This window comes from Homo sapiens, chromosome 8 (genome assembly GCF_000001405.40).
Source record: "Homo sapiens chromosome 8, GRCh38.p14 Primary Assembly".
Classification (NCBI taxonomy): domain Eukaryota; kingdom Metazoa; phylum Chordata; class Mammalia; order Primates; family Hominidae; genus Homo; species Homo sapiens.
The window spans coordinates 16,504,498-16,517,035 of NC_000008.11; the positions used below are offsets into that span (position 1 = coordinate 16,504,498).

Consider the following 12,538-nt stretch of genomic DNA (forward strand, 5'->3'; position numbering starts at 1 on the left):
TAAAATGAGATTAGACATGCAAGAGATTTATTGGGGAAACAACTGTGAAAAAAAAATAGAGCCAAAGAAAGCAGGGCGATCTTTAGACCACAATGCTGGTCTGACACCTTTGAAGAAAAGGAAAGGGGAAGGAAAGTGAACTGGGTAGGAAGAATGTCAGACCACTGCAGCGCCATATGGAAAAGACTCAGAAGAGTTGATGGGGAATCCTGAAACCAAAGTAATCCACTAAGGAGTCCCCCATCTCATGGGAACAGGCCTGCATTAGCACAGCTGGTGTGCTCCATCACGGGTAGACACAGCAGTGACCAGCATTGCCTCAGGGAAAATGTGAGACAGCAACAGGGGCCTGCAGTCAGTTGCACCTTCTCAGCAAGAGATTACAGCCCCCACTTCCCACTCCACCCCACAAACCTTCTTTCTGCAGGTTCTAGCAATACTCCTGTGTGGTGCAAGTGCCTCTCCCTCCCTCTCTGAGGGAAAATGTAGAAGAGGAAAGTTGGTGGAACTAACTGCTGACCTGTTTGAAAATTTATGCTCAGGGCCACACTGCTACTCCTTCTATTTCTCCTCCATTATCCATTTTAAAGTCTTATCCTCGCTCTCACCTTGGCAGGTCTTACTGGCTTATCTGGTGTGACCCAAACCATTTTCTCTGCAGTATCTGAGCCCTGGAAATCACACTCTTATCAGGCCAGTATTGCTATATGTATTTAGTACCCAGAGCCACCTAGTACATCACCTGGGTTCAGCACATCTACAGACCCCTGCGCTCACTGATTGGAAGCAGTGTTACGTCTTCTTGTCTACCAGAGTCAATTGCCTCTGATTTATGGTGACTCCTCTTCTCACCTGCTGGTTTCTCTGATTTATAGTGACTCCTCTTCTCATCTGCTGGTTCCTGGTCACAAAAAGTCCAAAGAGCCCTGGCAGTTGCCATAACTTGTGGCCCAGTGGAATTCTTTATTTGACTCTGGCAAGAGTGTGCCACACTGGGAACCACGACCTTCAGTTCAATGGAAATCGGAGTTGTGGGAATGCATAACACAAACCATCTCAGTCTTAGAGACTGATTGTATATCACTTTTCATTCCTTGGTGTCCTTTTTTATTGAGGACAATGAACCATATAAATCTTTAATTTAAAGCATGTAATGCACCCGGAAGGATAACACCCATTCTTTCAGAGTGTTGTCTCTAAACTGGCATTTTAACTGTGCTTTTAGAAGGCTGTGTCAGAGCTCTGTGGGGCCAGCTGCTTCAGGATAATGCATTATGTATTACAACCATTGCATTTCATGATCATGGACTACTTGAAGTCTTAGGCCGTGCAGTAAAGAAGAGAAAGCAATAATAGGCATAAAAATTAAAAAGAAAGATGTAAAAGTGTCTGTATAGAATGAATATGCTATCTTCTTAGTAGAATACGTTAAATAATCTGTTAAAGAAACCAATTGAAACTATTAAGTTAGTTTAGCAGAGCAACAGGGCATAACAGCAATATACAAAAATCGATTGTAATTCTATATAGTGATAATAAACAAATGGCAATTTAAATTAAAATTACAACATAATCACATGAAAAAACATGAAATACTTAAAATATGCAACAAAATATGTGCAATGATATCAGCCAGCACAGTATTGACATAAGGCTATACATATAGAACAACGGAACAGGATGGAAGCAGTGATATGCAAAAAATTAACTTGAAAGGGATCATAGGCCTGTTCAGAAAACCTAAAACTATAAATCTTCCATAAGAAAACACAGGAGAAGAGAATTGTCCTCAGCTTAGGCAAAGATTTATTAGGCAAAAAAAGCATTAAGTTAAAAAGTTAAAAAGCATTAATCATAAAAGAAAAAAATTATAAATTACACTCATTCAAAATTTAAAGCTCCTGCTTTTGAAAGATTCTAAACATGAAAAAGCAAAAGATATATCAGAGAAAATATATGTAATTATCTGTTAAAAAGCTCTAATCCAGAATAAAGACTTCTTTCTAACTCATTAACATGACAAATAATTTAAGAAAGAACTGGAGACAGAAAAAAGCAGAGATAACCAAGAAAGATATATAAATGGCAAAAAAAAAAAAAAAATCACACAAAACCCTGATCAACGTCATTAGTTGAAATACAAGTTGAAACCTCAGTGAGATACCACTACACATGCTACAGAATGATTAAAATTAAAAAGACTGGTCAAGGCAAACATTGATAAGGATGACTTCTGGTGGGAATGCAAAATGGCACAGTCACTTTGGAAACTATTTTGTTAATTCCTTGGATAGTTAAACATATACTTGTCAAATGATTTACCAATACCACTTTTAGACATTTACCCAAGAAAAATGAACACACATATGCTCCCTAATGCATGTGAATGTTCACAGAACTAGAAAGTCATGTGGGCATACCACAACTGGTCTATCACACATGAATAAGCAAAAAAAAATGACACATCCATACAATGTAATACTGCTTAGCAATGAAAAGGAAGGGAATATTGATACGCACAATATCAATAACTTTTTGTGAAAGAAGCCTGACACAAGAGACATTGCATTGTATAATTCCACTTATATAAAATTCTAGAAAAAGTAAAACTATAGTGAAGAAAGTTCATCAATTATTGCAAGAGATGGGAGTAGGACATTGACTAATGGGATGTGCAGAAACTGAGGGGTGATGGTAATTTCCCACATCTTTGATTCTGAGGATATTTAACTGACGATATATATGTCACAAATCATCTAAACATATACATAAAATCGGTGAATATTTCTATGTATGTCAAACCACATGAATGGTGATTTAAAACAAAAGCACATTATCAACATTGTCATAATGAACCTCCAGAGGGCTTCAGTTTAGTTAGAACTAATGAAAGCATACAAAATACCTTCCAAAATTACTGCCTAAGGACAGGTGACCAGAGCACTTGTCCAGCAGCTTTCAGCCCTTGTGTGGTTTGTTACTTAATCTTGTCCATCATAGCTACATAGGTTCTTGGGACAAGGCCCTGGAGCAGAAAGAAGAAAGACATCTGCTGTCCAGGGAGGCTAGATTCTTGTCTTCATGCTTGTCCTAATTAAAAAATATTATTTTCTTTCTTCCTGTTCAGAAAGTTGGCCCTTACCTAGATGAAGTCAGAGTCTTGGTTTATAGCCAAAATAAAAGAGGCTTAAAAATCAGGAGTTTTGCCACAATGAGATATCATCTCACACCAGTTAGAATGGCGATTAGTAAAGTCAGGAAACAATAGATGCTGACGAGGCTGTGAAGAAATAGGAACGCTTTTACCCTGTTGATGGGAATGTAAATTAGCTCAACCACTGTGGAAGACCGTATGGCAATTCCTCAAGGATCTAGAACCAGAAGTACCACTTTACCCAGCAATCCCATTACTGGGCATATACCCAAAGGAATATAAATCATTCTACTATAAAGACACATGCACACATATGTTTATTGCAGCAATATTTACAATAGCAAAGACATGGAACCAACCCAAATGCCCATCAATGATAGACTGGATAAAGAAAATATGGTACATATACACCATTCAATACTATGCAACCATAAAAGGGAATGAGATAATGTCCTCTGCTGGGATATGCACGAAACAGGAAACCATCATCCTCACAAACTAAGGGAGGAACAGAAAACTAAATACCTCATGTTCTCACTCATAAGTGGGAGCTTAACAATGAGAAAACATGGACACAGAGAGAGGAACAACACACACCAGGGTCTGTTGAGGGGTATGGGGCGAGGGGAGGGAACTCAGAGGATGAGTCAATAGGTGCAGCAAACCACCATGGCACACATATACCTATGTAACTAACCTGCATGTTCCTCACATGTATCCCGTTTTCTGTTGTTCTTGTTACTTTTTTTTTTAGAAGAAATAAAAAAAAGAATCAGAAATCTTGGTTGTAACATCAAATTTGCCACTAACTGGCTATATGTGTTGCAAGAAGTCAGTTTAATTTCTGTGTCAAATTTTTCTCATTTGTAAATACAGGGGTTGAGTAGTTGTTTTCAACATTTTTTAAAAAACTAATATTGGTGTGTTGCTCATCCAACCGAATTTACTCAACAATAATTTATTTGACCAACACTATTGGCGTGTGTGTGTGTGTGTGTGTGTTTGTGTGTGTATATATATACACACACATATATATATACACATACATACATATATATTCACATATATACACACATCTGCAAATATATGCTAATGAGAACTACAGATACGTGACAATTTTCATATTTCAGTGATAGAACTACAGAAAAAAGCAAATAAACTAATCATTTAGTCTATACAGTTTTATCATGGCTAAATATTCATTTTCCATTAGCGATTTTGAAATATTTAAAAACCAGCTACTGAGCTCTTTCCATTAGTAATTATTGCCTTTCAGTAACATCTTTCCACTTATAGAAACAAATATATATGTAATTCCTAAAGACCCTTCCTCACATTTCTGATTATCTGCTTCTATGTCTCTTGATTGCTCTCCAAAGATAGATAAAAACAAAGTAAACTATGGCTCTTATAAAATGTACCATTTGTAATACAACAGTATTAGTAAATTCATGTAAAGAGGAAAACCATGAACCAATTCAATTGCACTTAATACAAAATATCAACTATATTTCCAGTTTAGACACCCTCTGAAGAATAGATGAGAACTGTTTTGACTTGGATCGTTTGCTGTTACCTATAGGCTTTTGAGCATAGCATTATTTTCCCTCCACTGTGACAAATTTCACAAGAGAAATGGAATGTGGATGGGATATTGTGTCATCTTCCATGCGTTTGTTAAGTATAGATTTCCCATATTCTGCAACACCTTTGTGTTTTCAATTTCTTTATTTTCATAAATAAAAAAATGCTGCAGCTTATAATAATAAATACAGACAACTAAAAACTTGAGAACAAATCAGGATTATGCAGTAAGCTACAAAACCATTAACTGGGATTTTGGAGTGTGTGAATGATTTTTTAAAAAACTAAAACGTAAAGCCAGATTGTAGTAGGTAACTTCCATTACGACCCTCAGTGATCCCCACCCACTTCCTAGTATTCCCCTCTTTGTCACACCTCCTCCCTTTGAGTGTGGGCTAGACCTAGTGACTTGCGTCTAAGGAGCAGGATTCAGCGTAAATGATTGGATGGCACTTCTGAGGTTAGACTTTTGCTTCTCTCTTAGATGATCTCTCTTCTTCTCTTAATTGCTTGCTTGGAGGGAAGCCAGTTACCATATTTTCACCTGCCCTACGGAGGGAAGCCAGTTACCATATTTTCACCTGCCCTATGGAAAGGCCACACAGCAGGAAATGAACTCAGAGAGATCTCCAGCTAATAACCAGCAAAATCCTGGTGTTTGACAGTAAGCATGTGAGTGAGCCTGGAAATTGGTCCTCTGAGGCCTGACAATGACCAGGTGAATAACCTTCAAAGCAGATCCTTCTTCTCCCAGGTGAGCCTTGAAAGGACTGTGGCCCTGGCCACCACCTTGATTTCGGCCTTGTGAGAGACACTGAACCACAAACACACAACTAAGCCACACACAGATCCCTGACCCAAAGAAATCATGAAACAATAACTGTTTATTATTTTAAGTTGCTAAGTTCAGGGATTATTTGTTCCACAGAAATAGGCAATGAATACACCTTGCTTCTCACAGCAAAAAAAAATCACTCACACAAGATACATAGTTCCTGATGATAGCATCAGATACTGAAGTCTATTTCTGTATTAAAGAGACTGAAGCTTCAGCATTTTTATTCAGCCATTTGGGGCCAAGCAAAGAGAAAATGGCATTTAAGGCAGATTACTTTTTCTGTAAGTCTTAGCTCATTTGCTTTAACTGAGAGTTTGGCCAATCTCAACCATTTTAGACCAATCTTAATTATTATAGTATTCTGTCAATAATACTTCGGTTCACTTATTGTAAATCTGAAGAAAGAAGCTATTTTTTGAAGATTCGTGTAGTTTCTCATAATTAGATAAATTAAACAGTCACCTGGAAAATAACTTGAGAATTTCTGCCTTTTAGCTTTCTTTTCCTAATAGATAAGGATAAATAATAATATTCCTTGCAATATTTTGGTGATCAGATATTCTATTTTATATAGAATGATTTAGACAAGTACTGGAAGTACATTGCAAGCTTCTGACCTTTTACAAGTACTCCCTGATCACCTAACTAGTGTGTATCTCTTGCAAAGTGTTTGTGTTGATTTGAGAATTAGCAAAGCTTAAATGACCTGCCCAGCTCTTACCATCACACTTTTCTGATTTTTAGCAGCTATGCTTTCTAACAATCAATGTTCACACTCATTCCCATTTGCGGCTCTATCATCATACCTGACCCTAGGAAAGCTAGTGGCAGGACACACACACACATACACACACATAAAGGAACATACAATCTTGTGCATTGCCTACAATCTCTACATTGAATCATTCTCCTATCTTGTCCCTTCTGACCTTGGGCACTAATTTCTAATTCTTCATTTCCTACTTTGTGTCCACATTACTTCTCCAAACTCTTCTCAATTATCAAGAGGTAGCATAAACATCACATGTTTTATTTGGCCTTTTAAAAATCTCCCACCCTCACACATAAAAAGAATTACTAAATTCTCAGTACCCAGACATGTTTTTAAACTTTATTGTAGTATTTATAACATCTTGTCTTATTTTATAGATATTTACACATCTGTGTGCGTGTATATGTGTGTGTGTATGTGCGCGTGCACATGCGTCCTGCATTAACCTATGAACCCCTTGAGGACAGGAACAATTTCTGAATCACTTTGTTTGTATTTGTATAGGTCAATTGTGGAGAGTTCCTTCCGATCACTCTTTTCTGTTCTATTTCTCCCTTTACTATGACATTGCATATCCTTCCATTTACGTTTGTTCTTTTTGATTTTTTTCTAAACAACTTTGTGATTTTGTGTAAGAATTGTATAAAATGGCCTTCTTTTAGAAAAATACATCAGCTTGTATTTTCAGTGCTCATAATTTGGGATCCATCTGATCCACAATTTTTTTGTGCCATCTGTGATTCTTCAGCAACCAAAGTGCCTGCGTGTGTGGGTTAACCACAGATAATTCTTTGTCTTTTCCTATCAACTGCCACAAACTGCCTAATTACTGGGCCTGATCCTGTTACTATTGTCACAAGGCTGTCTTCAGCAATGTTGTCTTTATCTGCTTAGTAACTCCCTATGACCAGCTGAATGTCCTTTCTGCTATGCACTGATTACGATTTCTGGCTTCCCATGGGCACTGAACCAGCACAAATTCTAAAAATTACCTTACAGACCTGTGTAGACTGTGTATGTCTCCTCATACTCTTCTGGGGTTATCTTTCAGAGCATCAATATGTTCTGCAAAAATAAGGGGTTAAGTAAATATATACATTTTTATTAAGAATAATCAATGTGACACAAAAACATGTCTTAGCCATTCTTAAAATTGGCACATTATACATGCCAAGTGCCTTCCAATTCAGCAATGGGGTTATGAAAATTAAATCATGAATCTTATATTTTACATCAATTTCTTTCTCAGTAGGGAATATTGCAATTGACATTAAAGCAAAATAGGAAAGAGTACACGGGGCATGGGAAGCACAAAGGAACAATTTATTAACAAGCACGTTACATTTTGCTGTTCTCTAATGTAAAATTGAAACATCATTTACAAAAAGAAATATGATGTGAGGGATTTTACATGCTAGAATAAAGTAGTAGGGAACAAAGATTATGAAATCATATACACACACATACATGTATATACATATATGTATATGTGTATAGCTATATAGATGATAAATAGGCAGATAGATACAAAATAATAAATAGATATTAAAGTAGGAGACAGACACATCTGTCCCTGGCCTCCAGAGAGGATTGAAAATGAATAGATTAAGTTTCATAAATCTGAAGTCAAGGAAACGTGCCTGATGATTTGTTCTTGAACAATGTTCCTGCAGAAGAAACTTCTCCATCTAACATGTTCATCCCTCTAGGGCAGGAGGCAACTGCATGAAATGGCATGGATGGAGGGCAGAGATGGCAGACGGAGTGTGGTGAGAGAAAACTCAGACTCCAAGCTCCAATTCCTGACAGCCAGAAGCATCTAATGAAGGCTCTGTTTGCCTTGTTTGGGACCTTCTCGTCCATTACGTTTCTATTATAAGATGACATAAGCTTAGTTTTTGTTTTGTTTTGTTTTTGTTTTTGTTTTTTGAGACAGAGTCTTGCTATGTCACCCAGGCTGGAGTGCCGTGGCGCGATCTCGGCTCACTGCAACCTCCACCTCCCAGGTTCAAGCAATTCTCCTGCCTTAGCCTCCTGAGTAGCTGGGATTACAGGAGCCCCCACCACGCCCAGCTAATTTTTTTGTATTTTTAGTAGAGACGGGGTTTCATCATTTTAGTCAGGCTGGTCTCGAACCCCTGACCTGGCGATCCACCCGCCTCGGCCTCCCAAAGTGCTAGGATTATAGGCGTGAGCCACCATGCCTGGCCGACATAAGCTTAGTTTCTGAATAAGAGCAAGGTCTGGCCTGGGGATGCTCAACAGTAACACTCTGTAAAACTCTCTGGCAATGGCCATGCAATGATGAAAACAACTCATTGTATCCCTTTGCTGAAATCAAAGAAACCCCAGAATTCCCTTCAATATTTGAATGGCTCAAGCCATGCCAGTAGAACAACGGGGATTCTACTCCACAAAGCAATCTTGTAGTAGTATTAATAGTGAACATTATGAGTGCTCCTTTTTAGTATTATAGCCACGTCTCTATTACAATACAACACTTTATTGAAATTATTTGTGTATCTCAGGTAAGAGACTGAAAATTCTCAGGTATAGACCACTTCTAACTTATTTTCCTATTGTTGAAACCTAGTCTCTTCCATACATACAGTAGGGACTCAGTATTTCTGTTAAATGAATGAATAAAGGCTAGCTATGGAAGACAGGCATACCTCTCCCTGTAGATAAATATATACTCATATGTTTGCAGACCTTGCCCATATTGATGTTTCTACAATTGATAAGATTTTTATATTTGTAGTGTGTCTTTTTCTCTCAAAAAGTTGTTTTTAGATGGGTGGTAGCTTAGAGCCAGTATAATTAATATAGATATAAATAAATGAGGGAAAGAGATCATATGACTAATGAATATATCTATTTTTAGATTTTGTAAATATGAAAGTATTTACACAAATTTTTGTACATTTGTTTACTGGAAAATGACAGCACATTCTATACCATCAAATCCCACAAAATGCAGAATTAGAAAGATTTACAATTCATCTACTGCTAAAGTTAGATATAGTATGAACCTGATCAATTTGAAGAAATTGTTTCAGGCCAAAAAAAGTACCAATAGATGACTAAATAAAGAAAAATTATAGGCACAAAGAGTCTCAAATTTATAGACATACATAAATACTTTTAAAGTTTCAGGAACAATATTGTAAATGATCTAAGAATTTTCCACTGAGTCCTTTATTCAATGTTTAAGATATATTGTGTATAAATTATTCAAATATGTACTTTTATAATTTGTTATATATTTTACCTTATGGCATTTCCTTATTAGTGTGAACAAATAAATAGTATTTTCTGCTTCCCTTCCTACTAAATTTCTTTGTTCAATAAATACTTTCTTATTCCAACAATTTGTTCCTAGAATATTTATTATTAATGTGTTTCATTATAATGCCATAAAGCTGATATAAAACTTTTAATTTTTCATATACACATATAAGTCTAACAATATTTATAAAAATATGTATGTATATGCACCAGAATTATACATTATGCAACTCATGTATAAATTATTCCTAAACAATAAACATGGAGAGCGTATTAGAAGAAAAACTTAAAATTTATGAAAGTCTCTAAAGGACAAAGTAAAATGCAAATTAAATGCAGAGTTAATGTATTTTGAAAGTAATAAAAAGTATAGCAAGACAGAATATTAAGAAAAATTTTCCATTTAGTTTTTACTGTGTCAACAAAAAACAAATTTTTCATGCTTAATTACTTTTCAGGCATTCTAATTCACTGGATTTTTTTAAATTATGGGAAATAAATAGTATTAATTACAGAGTAATAACATGTTTTTACAGTCTTTTTATGCACAGTGTGTTTCAAAATCCTAATTCCTTTTCTCTTGTAGAATTTAACTATATTCCTACCTAGAGACACTGTTGTCTACACACGACAATGCGATGAACTCCCGGATTCTTACTGATTAATAGCTTTTTATTTTGTTCCAGAAATAACAACAAAAGTAACCTGGAAAAAAAAATAAAGAGAAATGTTTTCCTCCTCCAATCTGGATAGCTCATTCTTTCTTATCCCCCTCTGGAAATTTTACTCTTCTCTATTTTTGCCAAAAATTCAGCTGACATTCAGCTTGATTTTTTTTATTTTAGGGAGCCCTTCTTCTACATGTATACATCATGTAATTGGACTTTCATTTAGCATTTTCCTTTCTTCTTTGTAATATGATTTCTATATCTTTTTATTCTTGGACTGCAAAGTCCAAAATGTCAGGCTGAACTCTTTTCCCTGTCCTTCCACATTTACTACACTGTGCTCCAAAGAGTTCATGCAATACAGATCTGCTGCATTCTTATTGCTATTTTATTTTTCCATCAGCATTGATGTGGAAAACATAAATTGTGCAAATGATTTTAAGTACCATGAAAGAAAATTAAAGCAAAGCTCTTGCTTGAGAAGTTTACATTTTTCTTGGGTGACAAAGATACAAGAAAGAGTAGACAATATCGGTGCAATGTTCATTTAAAATAAAAACAGTATTATGATGTTAATTACAGGTTAATTGAATTGACCAGCATATCAAACTCTATACATGCTATGGTTAAATCTATAAAATACACATATGCATTTTAAATGTTTGTGATATAAAATTGAAGACATGAGGCCGGGCGCGGTGGCTCACGCCTGTAATCCCAGCACTTTGGGAGGCCGAGGCAGGCGGATCACGAGGTCAGGAGATCGAGACCATCCTGGCTAACATGGTGAAACCCTGTCTGTACTAAAAATACAAAAATTAGCCAGGCGTGGTGGCGGGCACCTGTAGTCCCAGGTACTCGGGAGGCTGAGGCAGAAGAATGGCGTGAACCCAGGAGGTGGAGTTTGCAGCGAGCCAAGATCGCTCCACTGCACTCCGGCCTGGGTGAAAGAGTGAGACTCCGTCTCAAAAAAAAAAAAAAAAAAAAAAAAAATTGAAGACATGAGGCACTATATTAGCTGTTGACTTTTTCTTTACTGTTAAAATGCATGTATATTTTAAAGTGTATTTACAGTTCATTAAATCAGTGTGCAGCGGGTTCAAAGAATCCAGGGAAGCCAGTCTCCATAGAGCATTATCTTTGGACTTAACAATTTGGAAATCCAAGATTCACTTGCAAAAACTATAAAAACTACATTATTTTTCCCTGACATTTCTGGGTCCTCACAGGTTACAGTGCCAGGACATTTTTTTTCCTGATTGCAAAACCCTCTCTAATCCAGCCAAATTCTTGAAAAACCCAGCCAGCATACGATGAATGGAAAACAATTGTGATATATTCCCTATCAATGAGATCCTAACTTTGACTTTCCCTGCTAGGGTAGATCCTCTAAATACCAATTATCTTGCTCTTGAGATAAAATACTTGATATGTGACCAAGGCTTTGTATGAACATCTTGTTATTGCACAATTGTGTTTCAAATATAATAATCTCAAATTCAAAATCTGATCTCTTGCAGTGAAACAATTAAGCCCCTTCTATCAACTAATATACCAAGATAACAACAAAACATAAATCTCAAAAATCATGTCTTTTTGTGGGCATACAGTTATATATTAGAAACATTTGAAAGAAAACAAGGAAGAGACTAGAAAAAGTACATTTGGGCCATTGAACACAACTAAAATAAGTAAGAATTTTATAAAAGTTCCACCAAGTAGAACAAATGAGATTAATGCCATATGTAGATATCAAAATTAACTAAAGTTGAAAGCTCTAAGTCTTAATCAACAGTATAGATTTCTTCATTTAGAAAAGAAGTATAGCATAGTGGATCAAAACACACTTAGTAATAATAATTTTAAAAAAACCTTTGGCTGCTTATATAGTAAAAAATTAAAGCTGTGTTTCAGCATTCCGGTATCTCTAATTGGTGTGGTGTTTTATTTTTCCAAAGTTGTTATCACAAAACACTGATGTACCAAGATGTCTTCACAGCAGTGGTAGATACACTGCTATTTATTTCACCACCAGGGTAAAGTTCAAATAACTTAGTGAAATTGATTTAGGGCTCTGTCTGGGTCAAGTAACCTCTGTGACTGGTAAATTTACAGGTAAAAGGGGAACCATAAAACATAAATTTCATGTGGCTACAGTGTCAATAAAGTTGTCACGTAGCCGAGTGGGTGATATTCTTTTTAAAAACAGTACAGAGAGTGTTTCAAACCATCTA

At 36.1% G+C, this 12,538-nt stretch overlaps 1 long non-coding RNA gene across 1 annotated transcript in view; it reads right to left on the reverse strand.

Annotated features, from left to right (window-relative positions):
- The window catches only part of LOC101929028 (uncharacterized), a 382,849-nt gene that overhangs the window by 131,909 nt on the left and 238,402 nt on the right, over positions 1-12,538 (reverse strand). The window contains exon 7 of the long non-coding RNA XR_007061175.1: positions 7,350-7,413. This is a non-coding gene — a long non-coding RNA (uncharacterized LOC101929028). The remainder of the gene's footprint in view (positions 1-7,349; positions 7,414-12,538) is intronic.